The sequence below is a fragment of the Homo sapiens genome, chromosome 2, assembly GCF_000001405.40.
Source record: "Homo sapiens chromosome 2, GRCh38.p14 Primary Assembly".
NCBI lineage: Eukaryota > Metazoa > Chordata > Mammalia > Primates > Hominidae > Homo > Homo sapiens.
The window spans coordinates 110,491,150-110,513,172 of NC_000002.12; the positions used below are offsets into that span (position 1 = coordinate 110,491,150).

General features: G+C 41.3%; 1 long non-coding RNA gene across 1 annotated transcript; it reads left to right on the forward strand.

Annotated features, from left to right (window-relative positions):
* Positions 1-3,319: 3,319 nt before the first annotated feature.
* LOC102724875 (uncharacterized) lies at positions 3,320-21,645 on the forward strand. The gene is made up of 3 exons (XR_427156.5): positions 3,320-3,486; positions 8,954-9,089; positions 20,152-21,645. It is a non-coding gene; the product is annotated as an uncharacterized LOC102724875 (long non-coding RNA).
* The last annotated feature ends 378 nt before the right edge of the window (positions 21,646-22,023 follow it).

Consider the following 22,023-nt stretch of genomic DNA (forward strand, 5'->3'; position numbering starts at 1 on the left):
GGGGAGACAAACCTCTCATGCAGAAGAATTCTAAATGATTGATGTCGATATTTCACCCTCAAACAGTGGAGAGCATAACTCTCCAATCCTTAAGTGTGGGCTGGAAAGGGATCGGGATCCCGATCCACACCCTAAGAGAGGATTCTTGAATCTTGCACAAGAAAGAATTCAGGATGAATCTGCAGTGCAAAGCAAAAGCAAGTTTATTAAAGAAAGTAAAGTAGTGAAAGCACAGCTACTCCATAGACAGAGCAGGGCGTTCCTGAAAGCAAAAGGAGGAACGCTTCCACCGTAGATACAATGTTGGTATACACACACACACACACACGATAAATACATACATATGTGTATATATGAGATAAATACATACATATGTGTATATATATATACACACACATATGTATATATATGATAAAAAAATCTTGGGGAGATGTGCTCTGCTACAGGGGTTTGTGATAAAGCATTAATTTTCCTAATTACTGTATTTTGCAAGAATCGATATGTTTAAAGCAAAATTAGGAATGCCCTTATTCTCCAGATATCGGGATATCTGGACACTCCCGAGTCTGCATCTGTTTAGTAAACATTATTAATCTGTTCCCTTAACCATAAACATCTAGGGGCTAGGAATTCCTCACTTTCTGGGAATGCAGCCCAGGAAGCCTCAGACACATTTTCCTAGCCCTCACTCAAAATGGAGTCACTCCAGTTCAAACACCTCTGACATAAGGACTTCCTTCCAAAGAGTACAGTAAGGAAAGGGAAAGAAAGAGGGACTTTTCTGTGGAGAAACGTAATGGACACCGTCTCAGCCAGGTGATCAAGGTCAGCATCAACAGGAATAAATCTCACCAGTATCCCCAAAACTGTCAAGGTCATCAGAAACAAGAAAAGTCTTAGAAACTGTCACAGCCAAGCGGAGCGTAAGGACAGATGACAACTAAATGTAATGTGATGTCCTGGATGACATCCTCGAACAGAAAATAATATTAGGCAAAAACTAAGGAGATCTGGATAAAATATTCACACTAGCTAATAATAACAAATCAATATTAGTTGAGTAATTGTTGCAAATACACCATACTCGTGTAAGATGTTGGTTATAGGAGACAATTGAGTACAGGGCATATAGGTGCTCTTTGTACGAATTTCTTAATTTTTCTGTAAGTACAAAACTGTCCAAAAAGTTAAGACTATTTTTTTAAAAAATTCAACTATCACAATATATTAAATCAACAATTTAAACTAGGATAATACGATTAAATCAATAAATACTAAAAAGCTTGTTTCTGATCTTTTTTCAAAGTTTCCAAGTAAAATGATTAAATATGATTCGTCATCAAGAGAAAGCTTTATACTAAACAGTAAAACACAGAGCCAATTTTATCCATCAGTTTCAAGCTGAAATATCAGCTGCCACCATTATTAAACATATTTTTTCAAAATTCTACTCAATATAATTCGATCAAAAATTGAAATAATTGGGGCCGGGCATGGTGGCTCATGCCTGGAATCCCAGCACTTTGGGAGGCCGAGGTGGGCAGATCACTTGAGGTCAGGAGTTCGAGACCAGCCTGGTCAACATGGTGAAACCCCGTTTCTACTAAAAATCCAAAAAGAAAATTAGCCAGGCATGGTGGTGCGCACCTGTAATCCCAGCTACTCGGGAAGCTGAGACAGGAGAATCACTTGAACCCGGGAGGTAGAGGTTGCAGTGAGCCGAGATCGCGAGACTGCACTCCAGCCTGGGTGACAGAGGGAGACTCCGTCTCAAAGAAAAAAAAAAAAAAATTGAAATAATCAATTTAAATGTTGGAAAGTAGGCAAAACCATCCAAGATATTTTAGAAAAGAAACAAAAACAGGCCGGGCGCGGTGGCTCACGCCTGTAATCCCAGCACTTTGGGAGGCTGAAGTGGGCAGATCATGAAGTCAGGAGACCGAGACCATCCTAGCCAACATGGTGAAACCCCGTCTCTATTAAAAATACAAAAAATTAGCCGGGTGTGGTGGCGGGTGCCTGTAGTCCCAGCTACTCGGGAGGCTGAGGCAGGAGAATGGCGTGAACCCGGGAGGCAGAGCTTGCAGTGAGCAGAGATCGCACCACTGCACTCCAGCCTGGGTGACAGAGCAAGACTCTGTCTTGAAAAAAAAAAAGGAACAAAAACAATCTTAAACGAATAAGTAAATTTGGTTAAATAGTTGCACATGTTTTCTCTATGAACAGAAATCAGAAATGGAAATGGAAAACCATGTCATTGAATAGCAACTAAATTCAAAGTGAAATAAAAATAACATCAAGGACATGAGTTTAACTTGAATAAAATTTTGTAGTGGACGTTAAAACTAAGTACATTGAGAGACACCGTATCTGAATGGGGAGACTCACTATCATAGGAATAAAAATCCTCCCAACATTAATAATGTATGGATATTGCTGCAGTTCTTACACAATGTGTTTGAGCTAGCTAAAAGGATTTCAAAAATTACATGGAAAAATAAATGCTTCAGAATCACCAAGACACTAAGTCAAAGAATAATGAGAGGGAATTGCGTTTATATCCACTATATAGTGGAGAATGCTAAACGCTGCCTGCATTAGTTACCTATTTCTATGTATATACAATCTAATGTTAAAATCTCAGAGAGACCAAAGGATCACAGTCATATTCAGTCACACAAAGGTCCCTTTAAAGAGATTAAGGGTGTTGCTCTCAGATTGTCTCAAACAATTAAACCTCTAGGGAGCTTAAGAGTATTTTTCCTCAGCCTCTCAGCAGAAGCTCAAGATAGTGAAGGGTTTATCCAGAGAGATTTGTAGGGTTTCGTCTAATGTAGTTAACACATTATGCAAGCAAACAAAAAGACCCACAAATTTCCTGAGAAATCTGTGTGTCAGTTTGGAGTGGAAAAGGCAGACCCAGTACAACATAAAAAGGAATTGTTGGACCTCCAAAATTCTAGCAGGAAGCAGGCTGAGAAAACAGATGCTACCTTTTCTTTAAAAAAAAAAAAAAAAAAAAGTCCGGGCACAGTGGCTCACACCTGTAATCCCAGCACTTTGGGAGGCTGAGGAGGGCAGATCGCTTGAGGTCAAGAGCTCAAGACCAGCCTGGCCAACATGGTGAAACCCCGTCTCTACTAAAAATACAAAAATCAGCCAGGCGTGGTGGTGGGAGCCTGTAGTCCCAGCTACTCGGGAGGCTGAGGCAGGAGAATGGCGTGAACCCGGGAAGTGGAGCTTGCAGTGAGCTGAGATCGCACCTCCAGCCTGGGCGACAGAACAAGACTCCTTCTCAAAAAATAAAAAAAAAACCATTCCACTTTGAACTCACTTCTTGTATTGCCTTGGGAGACATCTGGCCATTGGTACTCATTTCTGTTCTGGGTCGAAGGGACCTCACCTTCTTTTCCACCAGCCATGAGACAGGAAGGCCTCAACTGGTATCCCTGAAAGGGGGAGAGTTGGACTCTTGCCACAAGTCAGGTATCTCACCTACTTCTCTCTCCCCTCTTGTGACCTTTTCTCAACTACTGCCCCCTAGTGTGGTTCCAATGGTAAATGACGGATTTGGAAGAGGAAATAGACATCCCTTCTCCGGTGGGTTTGGGATTGGAGTCAGAATGGCCACTGTGAGGACACCTGGTGATCCCTGGACCCTCACCAAGACAAGACTCAGAGGGACACCAAGCAGCAGGGGGAAGTCAAGAGAGAATAAAATGCTAAAGACTTTTTGCTTTAGGAGTTGAAGAGATATATATTTGATATATATTTATTATGTTTGGAAACCATAAAATGAAATCAATAGGATGAATGAATGGCTTTTATTCTTGTTAAACAAGTATTTATTTGGTACCCACTACATGCTTTGTATAGTTGGCTCAACCTTCAAACTCTACCCATTATGAAGCCACTGTTTACCATGTCCACTGCCTATCTCTAATCTAGCCACCTTCACCTCTCACCTGGAGCGTGGGAACACACTACATCTATAACAGAAAATTATTGTTTAGAAACAACCCCATTGTTCCGCTATTACAGATAACAGTAGTAAATGTCTTTGCTGTAGATCACCCTTGTTTCTTTTTTAATTTTAATTTTTTATTTTATATATATATGTGTCTGTATGTGTGTGTGTGTGTGTGTGTGTGTGTGTGTGTTTGAGACAAGGTCTCACTTTGTTGCCCAGGCTGGAGTGAGATGGCATGATCTCAGTTCACTACAGCCTCGACTTCCTGGGCTCAAGCGATCCTCCCACCTCAACCTCTTTTTTTTTGACACAGAGTCTCACTCTGTCGCCCAGGCTGGAGTGCTGTGGTGCAATCTCAGCTCACTGCAAGCTCCGCCTCCCAGGTTCAGGCCATTCTCCTGCCTCAGTATCCCGAGTAGCTGGGACTACAGGTACCCACCACCAAACCTGGCTAATTTTTTGTATTTTTAGTTGAGACAGGGTTTCACCACATTAGCCAGGATGGTCTCGATCTCCTGACCTCGTGATCCGCCCGCCTCAGCCTCCCAAAGTGCTGGGATTACAGGCGTGAGCCACCGTGCCCGGGCCCGCTCCCATCTCAAGCTCTTGAGTAGCTGGGACGACAGCCGTGCACCACCACACCCTGTTAATTTTTTGATTTTTAGTAGAGATGAAGTCTCACTATGTTACCCAGGCTGTTCTTGAACTCCTGAGCTCAAGTGATCTTCCCACCTCAAGCCTCCCGAAGTGCTGGGATTACAGGCATGAGCCATCACACCCAGCCTTGACTCTTGTTTCTTCTTAAAAATTTCATTAGAGTAAGTTTGAAACATGAGATTACTTGGTCAAATGATATGAAGCCTTTATGGCTCTTGCTCTGTGTTATCCTCTTGCTTTTTCAAAGGGCCGTGAGCTAACAGGGAGCAGTTCATGACGAACTTCTACTAAAAGTATCACCATTTTTGTTTTCTTATTTTATAGGTATAAAACGATACATAAAATTCAAATTTATTTTATAATTTTTGATACTGTTGTATCAAAAAATCTGAGTCTGATTCCTAAGGGAGATGAAACAGCATGAGTCATGTGTGTAGGGAAAGAGAAGAAGGGAGCTTTTCCAGGTTGATTTGCAGTTTCTTGTTCAAGAAGCTCACCAGATGGTCGAACAAGTGACAGGAAGAAGATAGTTGAAAAGGGCGTTAACGTTTGGGAAAGGTGGATCATTGAATTAATGAACTGAATTGAATTCATTTATAAAGAAAGCATGAGATCCAGGTAGAAATCAGCTATAAATCTAAAGCATAGATCAGAAGATTCTAGCAAACTGAAACCACAGCGAGCTGTCACTACACTTTTATTAAAATGGTTAAAATAAGAAGTGGTGACAACTCACTAAAGAGTGAGTTCAGCCATATTATGGGATATGAGAGCAACACACAAAACTTAATCACATTTTTATATGCCAACAATGAACATGTGGAAACCAAAGTTAAAAACACAAAACTACTTAGCTGGGCGCAGTGGCTCACACCTGTAATCCCAGCACTTTGAGAGTCCAAGGCGGGCGGATCACCTGAGGTCAGGAGTTCGAGACCAGTCTGGCCGACTTGCTGAAACCCTGTCTCTATAAAAATACACAAATTAGCCGGGCTTGGTGGCAGTCACCTGTAATCCCTGTTACTCAAGAGGCTGAGGTGGGAGAATCGCTTGAACCCAGGAGGCAGAGGTTGCAGTGAGCTGAGATCGCACCATTGCACTCCAGCCTGGGCAAGAGAGCAAAAATTCCGTCTAAAAAAACCCCAAAAAACCACAGTACTACTTACAGTCACCCTAGAGAAAATGTGATGCTTGGGTATAAATTTAACAAGACATGTATAGGCTCTGTATGCTAAAAATAGTAAAATGATTATGAAGGAAGTCAAAGAGGACCTAAAGAAATGGACAGACATACTGTGTTCATGGATTGCAGGACAGTATAGTAAAGATGTCAGTTCACCCCAAACTGGTCTATAGGTTTATGTAATTCTTATCAAAATGTTAGCAAGATTTTTGTATAGACATGGAGCTTCTTTTAAAATTTACATGGAGGGGCCGGGCACGGTGGCTCACACTTGTAATCCCAGTACTTTGGGAAGCCGAGGCAGGTGGATCATGAGGTCAGGAGATCGAGACCATCTTGGCTAACATGGTGAAACCCCGTCTCTCCTCAAAATACAAAAAATTAGCCGGGCGTGGTGGTGGGCACCTGTGGTCCCAGCTACTCGGGATGCTGAGGCAGGAGAATGGCGTAAACCCGGGAGACGGAGGTTGCAGTGAGCCAAGATCATGTCACTGCACTCCAGCCTGGGCAACAGAGCGAGACTCCATCTCAAAAAAAAAAAAAAAATTTACATGGAGGCCAGGTGCAGTGACTCACGCCTATAATCCCAGCACTTTGGGAGGCCAAGGCAGGTGGATCACCGGAGGTCAGGAGTTCGAGACCAGGCTGGCCAACATGGTGAAACCCTGTCCCTACTAAAAATACAAAAATTAGCCAGGCATGGTGGAGGGCGCCTGTAATTGCAGGTATTTAGGAGGCTGAGGCAGAAGAATCGCTTGGGCCCAGCCTAGGCGACAAGACCAAGACTCCATCTCAATCAATAAATAAATAATAAAAATTCATATGGAAAGGCACAAGCCCTAGAATAGCTTAAACATCTTGAAAAAGAAGAATATAAGTGAACATGCTACCTGATATTAAGATGTATTTTAGAGCTATAGTACTTAATACACTGTAGTATTCATGAAAAAATAGAAACATAAATCAGTGGGGCCAGGCACGGTGGCTCTCGGCTGAAATCCCAGCAGAGGCCAAGGCGGGTGAATCACCTGAGGTCAGGAGTTCAAGACAAGCCTGGCCAACATGGTGAAACCCCATCTCTACTAAGAATACAAAAAAAATTAGCCAGGTGTGGTGGCGCATGCCTGTACTTTCAGCTACTCGGGAGGCTGAGGCATGAGAATTGCTTGAACCAGGGGGCAGAGGTTGCAGTGAGCCGAGATCACACCACTATGTGACAGAGCAAGATTCTGTCTCAAAAACAGAAGAAACATAAATCAGTGGAAGAGAATAGAGAACTCAGAAATAGACCAAAACATATATGCCCATCTGATATTTGAAAAAGGTGCAAAAGCCATTCAATAGAGGAAGGATAAACTTTTCAACAAATTGTACTAGATAAGGTGGATATCAACAGGCAGAAAAATGAACATCAACATAAGCTTCACACCTCATACAAAAACTAACTCAAAATGGATCGTGGACCTAATAATTTTTCAGAAAAGAGGAGATAGGGCTTGGCAAAGAGTTCTTGAGCTTGACTCCAAAAGTATAATCCATAAAAGTAAAAATTGATAAATTGAACCTCATCAAAATAAAACTTCTGCTCTATGAAACACCTCATTAGAGTATAAAAATGAGTTACAAACTGGGTGAAAGGATTTTTAAGTCATACATATGACAAGGGACTCAGATCTAGAATATGTAAACAACTTTCAAAACTTAACAGTAAACAACAACAGACACACAATCCAATTAGAAAAAGAGCAAACAGTAAGACCCCAGCTCTACAAAAAAATACAAAAATTAGCCAATGTGGTGGCACACACCTGCATACCTAGTATTCCTGAGAATTGAAAATATATGTTCACAAAAACTTGTATGCAAATCTTATAGCAGCATTATTCATAAGAGGCAGACAAGAATGGAACCAATGCAAACGTCCATCAATTGATGACTAAATGAACAAAAATGACTCTTCAGCCATAGAAAGGAGTGAACATGATGCTAATACACACTACAATGGGGATGAGCCTTGAAAACTTTGTGCTAAGTGAAATTAGACACAAAAGGCCACATACTGTGTGATTCCATTTATATGAAATGTCCAGATGAGACATCCATACATACAGAAAGTAGATTAGTGGTTGTCAGAAGCTGGGGTGAGGAGGGAGTAGTGAGTGACTGCTAATAGGTACAGAGTTTTTTTGGGGGGAGTGGTGAAACCGTTCTAAAATTAAACTGTAGTAGGCCGGGCATGGTGGCTCACACCTGTAATCCCAGCACTTTGGGAGGCCAAGGCAGGCAGATCACGAGGTCAGAAGACCAAGACCATCCTGGCCAACATGGTGAAACCCCATATGTACTAAAAATACAAAAATTAGCCAGGCATGGTGGTGCACACCTGTAATCCCAGCTACTTGGGAGGCTGAGGTGGGAGAATTGCTTGAATCCAGGAGGCGAAGGTTACAGTGAGCTGAGATTGCGCCACTGCACTCCATCCTGGGCGACAGAGTGAGACTCCATCTCAAAAACAAACAAACAAACAAAGAAATAACAACAAAAACTGTAGTAATGGTTTAAAACTCTTGAATATACTCAAAGCCATTGAACTGTGCACTTTAAGAGGATAAATTTTTTGGTATATGAATTATACTTCAAGCTATTAAAAAGGATATATCAATTATTTAATGTTAATGGACAATTCCAATGTATCCAGTTTTTTCTATTGCAATGCTGCAAGGGACGTACTTGAACATTCATCTTTATGCCTTTATCTTCCTGGTAGTTCTATAAGATATAGTGAAGGAAGGGGATTTATTGTTGTTATAGTCTTTATTGTGGTAGCCAGTGACTAGTACTAGAATGGTATTTATTTTGAGTGCTTAGGCACTACGAATTTCTGTAAAACTGACGTTTCATGGTTGTAGCCAGCCAAGATAGCGTTGACACCTGTATGGAGAAAGAGTTGGTAGGATAATCCTGGGTGCTCTTGAGGGGAGAAGGGAGCATGTGGGGGACTGGAGTAAGGAAGGGAGGGAAAAAGGTGAGCAGGACATTGAAAGCCTCTTGTGGGGTTTTTGCTGTTCGTATTTCCTTTCTGGCTTTATAGAGAGCTCTTGGTTTGAATTGGATTGGTTTCTCTTTTGCTTTTTCCCTGTTAGGTGAAGGCATTCTCATCTCCTCAGAGGCTTCAGAGCTTCTCCATTTCATAGACAACCAGGGCCCAGTGCACGTGATCCAGAAATATCTTGAGCACCCTCTGCTGCTTGAGCCAGGTCATCGCAAGTTTGACATTCGGTAATGCATTCATGTCCATAGCTTTTGTTTTTATTCATCTGAAAAAACTGCCATGGTATGTGGTGGGAAGGGGGACATGGAATATGAGGAAGCGTTTGACCATGTTTAATATGTTACCAAAATTGAGCACAGCTGAATGGAACTTACCTTCTGTACCTAATTTTCTATTTTTCTTTCTTGTTTTTTCCATCTAGAAAATGTTACTACGATTATGGATTTTCTTTTTTAAAAAATATTCTTTTCTGGCTGGGCACAGTGGCTCACGCTTGTAATCCCAGCACTTTGGGAGGCCAGGGTGGGCAGATCACCTGAGGTCAGGAGATCGAGACCATCCTGGCTAACACGGTGAAGCCCTGTGTCTACTAAAAATACAAAAAAAATTAGCCGGGTATGGTGGTGGTGCCTGTAGTCCCAGCTGAGGCAGGAGAATGGTGTGAACCCGGGAGGCGAAGCTTGCAGGGAGCTGAGATTGCGCCAGTGCACTCTAGCCTGGGCGATAGAGCAAGACTCCGTCTCAAAAAAAAAAAGCTAACTTGAAAATTGAAGTCCCTATAATCCTACTTCCTAGACAGAATCAGTGATCTTGCACTTTTAGTGTTATTTTCTGTCAATCATAGTTATATGTATCCCAGTGTAATACATATATTACTTAACATGAAAAATTTTAAGCACATAGAAATTTAAAGGAAATATGTTCATCTATGAATATTATAAAGCCACCATCTAGATTTAGCAGTTAATATTTTGCAGTGTTTAAATTTTTTTCACTGTAGTTTGAAGTAAATTACTTTAAACTTTTCACCCCTAAATACTTTAGAATGCATCTTTTTTAAAGAAGGAATTCTTTCACAATATAATCACACAATTTTCACACCTAATACAAGTAACAGTGCTTTCTAAATGTTCTCTAATAACCAGACTATATTCACCTTTCCCTTTTTGACCCCAAAAAATGTCTTTGAGAGCTGGTTTGTTTAAATAGGGTTCTAATTAAGGAGCATAGGTTGCATTTCATTGTTTGTCTCTAAGCTTTTTAAAAATCAAGTGTAGTACCTGGCCCCCCCTTTTTTTTCTTGACTTTGAACTTATTGGAGAGACCTAGCCAGTTGACTTACAGAAGTTGGGTCAATGTTCTCACTTTCTGTATTTATCTGATTGTTTCCTCATGGTGTCCTTTAACTGTATTCTCTTTTATTTCCAGTAAAGCAGAATTTTAGGCTTGAACACAATTACATTAAACATGTTGGACAACAATTCTTCACCATTGATATCATTTTCTTTCTTTCTTTCTTTCTTTCTTTCTTTCTTTCTTTCTTTCTTTCTTTCTTTCTTTTCTTTTCTTTTCTTTCTTATGCAGTTTCACTCTCGTCACCCAGGCTGGAGTGCAGTGGCACGATCTCGGCTCACTGCAACCTCCGCCTCCTGGGTTCAAGTGATTCTCCTGCCTCAGCCTCCCACGTAGCTGGGATTACAGGTGCTCGCCACCATGCCCTGAAAGTTTTTGTATTTTTAGTAGAGATGGGGTTTCACCATATTGGCCAGGCTGGTCTCGAACTCCTGACTTTAGGTGATCCACCCACCTCTGCCTCCCAAAGTGCTGGGATTACAGGTATGAGCCACCACGCCCAGCCTGATGCCATTTTCTTCACATAATATCTAGTGTACCCACTATTAGAGATTCTAAGATTATAGGGTTAACTATCGATTTATCTTCTTGCCACTGGAAAGTATTCTATGGGTTGGAACACTGAGATCTTTGACATCTTTCCCTTAATGGTTTTAGCATGCAGTAATGATTCTTTCTCAGATCAGTTACTTAATTAGAAGTTGCAAAATGGTGATTAAATTATCTTTTTTTTTCTACATTTATTAACTGTCATTCTTACCTCTAAAGAACTTTCCCTCATCCACTGGGGTTATTTTGTATCTAAAACTTAGTTCCACTGCAGAGAAAGAATACATTATTCTTTACTTACCTTTAATTACCAAGTTTTAGAATAAGAACTTGAATAACAGCCACCCCCATCAGTGATGATTAAGATGGTTTGTTTTCATCTTTATTGAGTATGATTATGGACTCAAGAATTTTTATGCTTTAAATGTCTTCTAGTCAATTATGGTTCATTACTCTTATTGATGCTCAAACTGTCAAAATGTTCCAGATTTGGCCAAGGGGAGTCCTTTCTGTTGGCTCCTGGGACCTTTTCATATGACTCCATTAGTCTTTTAAATGACTCTTTTCGTCTTTTGGAGTTTTAATATAACTTCATTAGTCCTGGTTCACTTTGTACATTCCTTACCCCAGACCTGAAATAAGCATCTCTCAAGCCTCCTGATTCCTTTTACTATGGAATTATATTTACACATTTATGATTGTTATGTCTTCTTGTTGAATTGACCCTTTAATAATTATGTAATATCCTTCTTTATTCATGGTAATCATCTTTGTTTGAAGTCTACTTTGATATTAATATAGACACTCTCATTTCCTTTTTCTTTTGCTTATTTTTTTAGATACAGGGTCTCATTCTGTTGCCCAGGCTGGAGTGCAGTGGTGTGATCATAGCTTGCTGTAACCTCAAACTACTGAGCTCAAGCGATCCTCCCACCTCAGCCTCCCAAGTAGCTAGGGTACATTATACCATGCATGCCACCATGCTGGGCTATTTAAACTTTTTTTTTTCATTTGTAGAGAAGGGATCTCATTCTGTTGCCCAGGCTGGTCTGGAACTCCTAGCCTCAAGAAGTCTTCCTGCCTTGGCCTCCCAAAGTGCTAGAATTACAGGTGTAAGCTACCACACCCAGCCTAATTTCCTTTGATTAGTATTTGCATTTTTCCACTTTTAATTTTATTTTTCTATATATATATTTTTGATATGAAGTCTCACTCTGTCACCCAGGCTGGAGTGCAGTGGCATGATCTCAGCTCAGTGCAACCTCCACCTCTGAGGTTCAAGCGATTCTCCTGCCTCAGCCTCCCAAGTAGCTGGGACTACAGGTGCGTGCCATTATGTCTGGCTAATTTTTTGTATTTTTAGTAGAGACGGGGTTTCACCGTGTTAGCCAGGATGATCTCGGTCTCCTGACCTCTTGATCTGCCTGCCTTGGCCTCCCAAAGTGCTGGGATTACAGGTGTGAGCCACCAAGCCCAGCCCATTCTTTTAATCAATTAAGTCTTTATATTGAAAGTGATTTTCTTATAAATAGCATGTACTCAGGTCTTGTCTGTTTAATGTAGTCTGACAATCTCTGCATTACAGTTGGTATATTTAGACCATTTACATTTAATGTAATTATTGATTTGGTAGGATTTAGGTCTACCATTTCTAATCTGTCGTCAAGTTCACAAACTCCTATCATTGTCATCTGCATTCTGCTATGTAGCCCATTGAGTGAATTTTTGAAAACTATTAATAATACATTTTATTGTTTGAACAATTACAGCTTATCAGAAAAGTGAGCAAACAGAAGAGAATTCCCATATGCCCTCTTACCCCAAACCCTCCCACCCCCGTTTCCCTTATTATTAACATCTTGCATTAGTTATAGTACATTTGTTATAATTGATGAGCCATTATTAAAGCTTTGTTAACAATAGTGCTTTGTGGATTACATTAGAGTTCATTCTTGGTGTTGTATAGTCTATGGGTTTTGACAAATGTATAATGACATGTATTCATCATTACAGAAACAGAATAGTTTCACTACCCTAAAAATCAGCTGTTCTCCACCATTTATCCACCCTCCCCGCCCCCAACACCTAACTCCTGGCAACCACTGAACTTCTTACTGTTTCTATGGTTTTGCCTTTTTCAGAATATATATATATATAATATTATATATGATATATATTATTATATATCATATATAAAGAACTATTTTTTTGCAAAGATTTTTTCCCATTTAATGGCTTACCTTTTCATTCTCTTAACAGTGTCCTGTGTGAGCAGAAAAATTTAATTTTAGTGAAGTCCAACTTACCAATTTTTTCTTTTATGAGTCATGTTTTTGATGTTATATCTAAAAAGTCATCACCAAATCCAAGGTCACCTGAGTTTTCTCCTATGTTATCTTCTAGGAATTCTGTAGTGTTGCATGTTACATTTAGGTCTATGATCCCTTTTGAGTTAATTTTTGTGAAAGGATTGAGATCTGTGTCTAGATAAGATATACTTAGGCAGGCCTAGTGGCTCATGCCTGTAATCCCAGCACTTTGGGAGGCCAAGACAGGCAGATCACCTGAGGCCAGGAGTTCAAGACCAGCCTGGCCAACATAGTGAAACCCCATCTCTACTAAAAATACAAAAAATTAGCTGGGCTTAGTGGCGGGGGTCTGTAATCCCAGCTACTTGGGAGGCTGAGGCAGGATAATCGCTTGAACCCAGGAGGCAGAGGCTGCAGTGAGCTGAGATTGCACCATTGCACTCTAGCCTGGGCAACAAGAGCGAAACTCCATCTTAGGAAAAAAAAAAAAGATATACCTCGATGTAACATTTTTGTTATTTATCCTATATGGTGTTTTTTGAGCTTCCTGGATCTGTTCCTTTATGTCTACCTTAGTTCATTTGGGCTGCTGTGACAAAAATTTCATAAACTGGAGAGTTTATAAACAACAGAAATTTATTTCTCACAGTTCTAGGGGCTGTGATGTCCAAGACCAAGGCACTAGCAGTGTCTGGTGAGGCCCTCCTTCCTCATAGATGGCACATTCTGGCTTTGTCCTCACATGGTGTAAGGGGCTAGCTAATTCCCTGGGGCTTCTTTCATAAGTGCACTAATCTCTGTCCTGAGGATAGAGCCCTCATAACCTGATTGACTCCCAAAAGCCCCACCTCAGTACTATCATATTGAGGATTAAGTTTCAATATAACTTTTGAGGAGACACAAACATTCAGACCATATCTTTATATATCATTAATTTGGGGAAATTTTCAGTCACTGTTGCTTCAAATGTTTCTTCTGTTTCTTTCTTTCTTTCTTTTTTTTTTTTTTGAGACGGAGTCTTGCTCTGTTGCCCAGGCTGGAGTGCAGTGGCACGATCTCAGCTCACTGCAAGCTCCGCCTCCCAGGTTCGCGCCATTCTCCTGCCTCAGCCTCCCTAGTAGCTGGGACTACAGGCGCCTGCCACCATGCCCTGCTAATTTTTTGTATTTTTAGTAGAGACAGGGTTTCACCGTGTTAGCCAGGATGGTCTCGATCTCCTGACCTTGTGATCTGCCCGCCTCAGCCTCCCAAAGTGTGGGGATTATAGGCATAAGCCACCACGCCCAGCTTTCTTTCTCTTTTTCTTCTCTTTCTGGTATTTCCAAAAAGTCTCCATGTTCCACCTTTTGTAATTGTCTCACAGTTCTTGACTCTTGTTCTGTTTTTTCTTTTTCATTCTTTTTTCTCATTGTGTGTCAGCTTTTGAAGTATCTATTGACATCTCTTCAAGCTCACTGATTCTTTCATTGGCCATATCCATTCTTTTGATGAACCCATCAAAGGCATTCTTCATTTCTGTTATGGTGTTTTTTATTTCTAGTATTTCATTTTTATTTCTTCTTAGTGTTTTTATCTCTTTGCTTACATTACCCATCTGTTCTTGCATGTTATGCTGTTTTTACATTAGAGCCCCTAGCATGTTAATCTTAGTTATTTTAAATTCCTGGTTGGACACTTCCAATATTTCTTTCATATCTGAGTCTGGTTCTGATGCTTGCTCTGTCTCTTCAAAGTGTGGGGTTTCTTGTCTTTTAGTATGCTTTGTAATTTTTTGTTTGAGGCTGTATATGATGTACTGGGTGAAAGGAACTGAGTTAAATAAGGCTTTAGTATGAGATTTTGTATTTCTCTGGCTAGGAGTTAGGCTTTGTTTACTCTTTGCTATATAGTCATGGATGTCAGAGGCTAAAATTTCCTCTAGTGTCCCTGTGTTGTCTCCCCTGTCTTCTCTGGGGAGCTCCCTAGAGGCTTCTTTGTAAAGTAGCTCTGAGTCTTGCAGTGTCTATCCCTAATCATGGGAAAACATCAAACAAACCCATATAGCAGGACATCTGACAAAGTACCAAGTGTCAAGGATCATGGATTGAATCCTGAAACAGAGGAAGGACACTGAAGGAAAGACTGGGAAAACCTGACTGAGGTCTGGAGTGTAGTTAGTGATACTATACCAAGACTAATTTCTTAGTTTTGATAATTTATTAACAGTTATGTTAACATTGGGGGTAGCTGTGCAAGGGGTGTGAGAATGCTGTTATATCTTTAACCTTGGCCCATGGTTAAGGTGTTTCCAGTGTAAGGTCACTGTTATTCCTTGTAGTTAACATATATTTGGCACCACAGGATTCATTCTGGAATTCTTGGCTTATTTATAACTTTTTTTCTTTTTCTAGTAGTGAGAAACCTGGCTTTCGTGCAGAGTTTACAAACGCCAATTTAAACTTTTGTTTTGTCATAGGCAATAATTTTATTACCTTTATTACCTGTATTTATTTCAGAGCTTATGAATTTTTAATTATTCTAAGGGCTAACAGAACTTTTTCATGTTTTCTACTCTTCAAGAGCAGGTAAGACTTTAGTTTGTAATACATTACAAGAGGAATCCTGTGGTTCTCTAAGAGCTAATTTGTCTTGGCAAAAGGCCTTAGCGAGCTGTGAGTGGTGGCTCATGCCTGGAATCCCAGCACTTTGATCTGAGACGGCTGGATCACCTGAGGCCAGAAGTTTGAGGCCAGTTTGGCCAACATGGCGAAACCCCATCTCTGCTAAAAATACAAAAAATTAGCCAGGCATAATGGCATGCACCTGTAGTCCCAGCCACTTGGGAGGCTGAGGCAGGAGAATTGCTTGAACCTCGGAAGTGGAGGTTGCAGTGAGCCGAGATCGTGCCACTGCACTCCAGCCTGGGAAACAGCGAGACTGTCTCAAAACAAACAAAAAAAAACAACAAAAAAAAAACAAAACAACAAAAAAATTAGACGGGCGTGGTGGCATGCACCTATAGTCCCAGCTACTCAGGAGGCTGAGGCAGGAGAATCGCTTGAACCCAGGAGTTGGAGGTTGCACTGAGCAGAGATCATGCCGCTGCACTCTAGCCTGGGTGACACAGTGAGTATCCATCTCAAAACAACAACAACAACAACAAAAACAAATTAAAAAACCCAACAACAACAAAACCAGCAAACAAGAAAACTAAACAGGCTTTAGGGAAAGAGCAATCTAATTATCTGATTATATGATTGGCACTAAGATGGGAATGACTCTGGCCTAATTTCTTCAATTTACATTTTAAAACAGGAGCTTAGTTAGCCCCCAAATAATATGTAATTGATGTATTAGGGTTGGGGAGTGAATATTTTTCAAAGCAGAAGATATTTCTCAATTCTTGCTTACTTTTGGAGGTTGAAGTTCAAGGAAGCCCCTGCCTTGGCACTGTATTCCAGGGAGGTATTTGGAGTTAATTTCAGGGCTTAGCAGTGACTCTTTAGAAAAGCAGTATACGATTGAAATGTAATGTGGTACAAATGAGATCACTACAAGTAATTTAAAAATGTGCTAGTAGTGTTTCTTTTTCTGAGACGGAGTCTCGCTCTGAAGCCCAGGCTGGAGTGCAGTGGCACGATCTCAGCTCACTGCAAGCTCCGCCTCCCAGGTTCGCGCCATTCTCCTGCCTCAGCCTCCCTAGTAGCTGGGACTACAGGCGCCTGCCACCACTCCTGGCTAATTTTCTGTGTTTTTAGTAGAGACGGGGTTTCACCGTGTTAGCCAGGATGGTCTCGGTCTCCTGACCTCGTGATCCTCCCACCTCAGCCTCCCAAAGTGCTGGGACTACAGGAGTGAGCCACCACACCCAGCCTCTAGTAGTACTTTTATCAAAAGTAAATAGAAACATGGAATTAATTTTCACAATACATTTTATTTAAACTAATATGTTCACAATGTTAAAATTTCAACATGTAATCACTATAAAAACTACTAGTGAGATATTTCACATTACTTTTTTCATGTAAGCCTTTGAAATCTGGTGTGTATTTTATATTTACTGTACATCCTGATTTGGAATAACCACATTTCAATCTTTCAATAGCCACATGTGGCTAGTGGCTACTGTGTTAGAGCAGTTCTAGAACAAAGGAGTCCCTTTCAAACTATTTTGAAGTCATCGTCTATAAGGCAATATGAAAGCTGATCTGAATGATTTCTCCTTTTCCAGGAAAGGAAACAAAAATGAAATCATGTTAGGGCTGCATATTTTATGGGTCCCAGGACAAATAGACATAGTCTGAAAGAATGATCTCAGTCAGAAACTCAGAATGAATCATATGAATTAAACATTGGACAATGTCCAATGCTCAGCATGTGTTTTTGGTTTATACTAAGAACATATTATGCCACCAAATACAGATATTTACTATTATACTTAGTGTAGGAGGTATATTGAGACATTGTTCTACACTACCACAGTTCCATATTTTGTGAAAAGCTATATTGCACTTTTTTTTTTTGCGAGTGTGCCCAGGCTGGAGTGCAATGGCATGATCTCAGCTCACTCCAGCCTCCGCCCCACCAGGTTCAAGTGATTCTCCTGCCTCAGCCTCCCTAGTAGTTGGGATTACAGGTGCGCACCACCACGTCTGGCTAATTGTTGTATTTTTAGTAGATACGGGGTTTTGTCATGTTGGCCAGGCTGGTCTCGAACTCCTGACCTCAGGTGATCCACCCGCCTCAGCCTCCCAAAGTGTTAGGATTACAGGCGTGATCCACCACGCCCAGCCTTATATTTCACTCTTTGGGAATTGTATCTTACTGTAATCTTAAACTACACTAAAATAAATAATGTAAACCTTTTGTCAAATTGCTCAGAGTAGGTTTCTACTTTGGTTATAAGGAATAAAATTCATGCTTTTGTGTACACACTAGACATCTAAAGCAATCAACTATAGTTAACAAGCAGTGCTCTTACCAAAAGGTAACTCTTTCTAGAATCTGTCACACCATTTAATATCAGTATGAGCATATGGTGGGTTTAATAATTGTTTTCCATGTTTATAGGTTTTCTTTAGTTTTATAAGCAGTTAAAAAGAATCCCTTTCACTGAAATACAATCTGTGGTGAGACTTCTAGCTTTTCTCGATCTTACGCTGCCAGATTTATGTCACTGCCAAAGCTATGCAATGGGTGATATTTACACTGTGCTCAAACAAAGCAACCAGAAAAACACATCACTGAATAATACAGATATTCTGAAGTCAAGCAAGCCAACTTTCATTAACAGATCAATTGCCTTAGAAAAGTTGACGAAACTAAAGACTGAAGTTCAAACAAAAAGCCCTCTCAAGGGGGTATGAATTTCTGGTAACTTATGGGGTAAGAAAAAGAGCAAGAAACTTGAAAGTAGGGAAGAGAAAAAAGAAAAGGAGCAAGAGGGGATAGCCAGCTCTCAAAAGAGTCTCCAATAGGAAAGCAAAATCTGTATCTAGCCAGTACCAACATGTGAAGAAAGAGTGAGCATAGCAAAATTTAGAAAGGTTGCTTGAAAACCAAACAAAAAACCAAATACCTGTAATCCTAGCACTTTGGGAGGGTGAGGTGGGCAGATTGCCTGCACTCAGGAGTTCAAGACCAGCCTGGGCAACATGGTGAAACCTTGTCTCTACTAAAATCCAAAAAAAAAAAAAAAAAAAAAATTAGCCGGGCATGGGCTGGGCGCGATGGTTCACGCCTGTAATCCCAGCACTTTGGGGGACAAAGGTGGGCAGATCACGAGGTCAGGAGATCGAGACCATCCTGGCTAACACAGTGAAACTCCATCTGTACTAAAAATACAAAAAATTAGCTGGACGTGGTGGCGCGTGCCTATAGTCCCAGCTACTCGGGAGGCTGAGGCAGGAGAATCACTTGAACCCAGGAGGTGGAGGTTGCAGTGAGCTGAGACCATGCCACTGTACTCCAGCCTGGCGACAGAGCGACACTCATCTCAAAAAAAAAAAAAAAAAAAAAAAAAAAAAAAAAGTCTCTTTTGGCCAGGTGTGGTGGTTCACACCTGAAATCTCAGCACTTTGGGAGGCCGAGGTGGGTGGATCACTTGAGTCCAGGAGTTCAAGATCAGCCTAGGTAACATGGCAAAACCTCGTCTCTACCAAAAACAAACAAAAATTAGCCAGATGTGGTGGTGCACACCTGTAGTCCCAGCTACTTGGGAGGCTGAGGCAGGAGAATCACCTGAGACCAGGAGGCAGAGATTGCAGAGAACTGAGACTATGCCAAGGCACTCCAGCCTGGGTGACAGAGCAAGACTCTCTCTCTCTCTCAAAAAAGAAAAAACAAAAAGCCTCCTTTAAAAAATGCAGTTTGATGCTATAAATTTATCAGTTAATAGTTTTTGGGGCAAAAAATGTTTTCTGACATTTCAATAAGAGCTATAGACGAAGTCCAGCATTAGTCATGACTCTGGACTAAGTCTGGAAATCTGGAATCTCTTCCCAGCTCTGGGAGGTACAAAGTTTTAAAAAATAAGGTCAAAATGCTGGAAAACATTCAATTTATTTCCTTATTAACACAATTGTTCACTCATAAACGACAGTAACACTTGGTGCTGTGGGTCATGCACTGAGGTCAGAACAAGGAACAGAAGAAAATGAGGTAAATTGGTAAATCTTTTTGCAGGCTGAGAAGTGAGAGAATGCTGGCATGCCTACTCTGTGCTGGGTTTTTTTTTTTTTGTTTTTTTTGTTGAGATGGGGTCTTGCTCTGTCGCCCAGGCTGGAGTGCAGCGGCGCAATCTCGGCTCACTGCAAGCTCCGCCTCCTGGGTTCACGCCATTCTTCTGCCTCAGCCTCCCAAGTAGCTGGGACTACAGGCACCTGCCACCATGCCTGGCTGATTTTTTGTATTTTTAGTAGAGACGGGGCTTCACCGTGTTAGCCAGGATGCTCCCGATCTCCTGACCTTGTGATACGCCCACCGTGGCCTCCCAAAGTGCTGGGATTACAGGCGTGAGCCACTGCGCCCAGCCCTCTGTGCTGGGTTTTATTATGTCATCCAATAACTCACAACTATGTAATTTATTTCCTTTTTACAGATAAAGAAATGGGGGCTCAGAGCAGTCAAGAACATGCCCCAAGTTATTCGTCAGTGAGGCAGAAATTGTGGTGTCCTTGTGTAAGTTCACAGTTTATACTTTACCATTATACTGTGCTCCAAATTATCTGATATTTACTTTCAAAGCATGTGTAGGAAGTTTACTATGATGATGCAGAGACATTGTACAGAATCCAGTCCCTTGACTCTCAGGTCCCCAGAACACTCACTTCACGATTTTGTTGACCTCTTATGTCAACTTAAACCTGGCACTCTCTTGGCTTTCTCTGCTCTTTCTGGGCACTCCAAAGCTTCTGTACTTACATGCTACAACTCCAGTCACAGGAAGATGCTGAGTTCTTTAGTCCCAGATCCATATTCCTGAGAAAACCTAATTGCCTAGGCTCAGGTCATAACTCTGTGTCTGTTTCAGTTGATTATGGCTGGGCCTACTGCCCCTCTGTATGGTGGTGGGGCAGAAGTTCCCAGAGAGAGGCAGGGGTGACAGAGACTGTTGTCTCAAATGCTAGGCAGACATCTGGAGTGGTAACCACTACATCTGTTCACAGTGAGCACATCCTTGCAGGGAAACTGGGTTAATCATCTCTATTATTGAAACTCAGAGGTATAGTGTTTCTTCATAGGAATTTTCTTTCCTTATTTGAGATGGGGGTCTCACTTTGTTGCCCAGGCTGGAGTGCAGTGGTGTGTGATCTTGGCTCACTGCAGCCTCCCCTCCCGAGTTCAAGCGATTCTCCTACCTCAGCCTGCTGAGTAGCTGGGACTACAGGCATGGGCCAACATGCCTGGCTAATTTTTGTATTTTTCGTAGAGACAAGTTTTCACCATATTGGCCAGGCTGGTCTTGGACTCCTGACCTCAGGTGATCTGCCCACCCTGGCCTCCCTAAGTGCCGGGATGACAGGTGTGAGCCATCGCGCCCAGCCTATTTATAGGAATTTTCTGTAGGTATATAAGTAATAATTTGAAGGTCACAACTAGATGACTTTTTGTGTAACCGTATCTTGAATGGAACAAACATTTTCTTTCTACGTAATTATACATAAATAACCCAATGCTTTTTAATACCCACGAAAAGCCATTAGCTCAAAGACACTTGCAAACTTGTATCAGGTTGTTTTCCTTGGTGTGTATTAAGTTTGAAGCAAAGGGGATTTTCACATACCAAGACGAAGCAGAAGTCTTCCACCAAGTTGAAATCATCACGTTGCAATTTAATCATATGATACAACCAATTTTTTGATGTGTTATGCCATTCGCCAAATACCATACAAAGTACGGTATGCCTTCTCAGTGCCTTGTTAGTAATTCAGTTACAGTTCTGCCGAACTTTCTTTAAAGGAATACAATTCTCAATCTTACACTGTTCAGAGCACAAGCATAGCTTATTGTATGCAAGAGATGTGCATCAGTTCCCACTCCTCAGGGACTGTATGAATTTGGCTTTATTTTTTTGACAGAGTCTCACTCTGTCGCCAGGCTGGAGTGCAGTAGTGTGATCTCAGCTCACTGGACTCTGCCACCTGGGTTCAAGTGATTCTCCTGCCTCAGCTTCCCAAGTAGCTAGGACTACAGGTGCACACCACCATGCCCAGCTGATTTTTTGTGTGTTTTTAGTAGAGACGGGGATTCACCATGTTGGCCAGGATGGTCTTGATCTCTTGACCTCATGATCTACCCGCTTTGGCCTCCCAAGGTGCTGGGATTACAGGCATGAGCCACTGTGCTGGGCCAAATTTGGTTCTTAGAAACCAAGGAGTGATGTGTGCACCAGGCCCAGGGCTGAAGAGCTGCTTCTCACTAGATGCCTCTCTTGGTCTGGCTGCTGTGTCCAGTCCTATCCAGGGTTAGC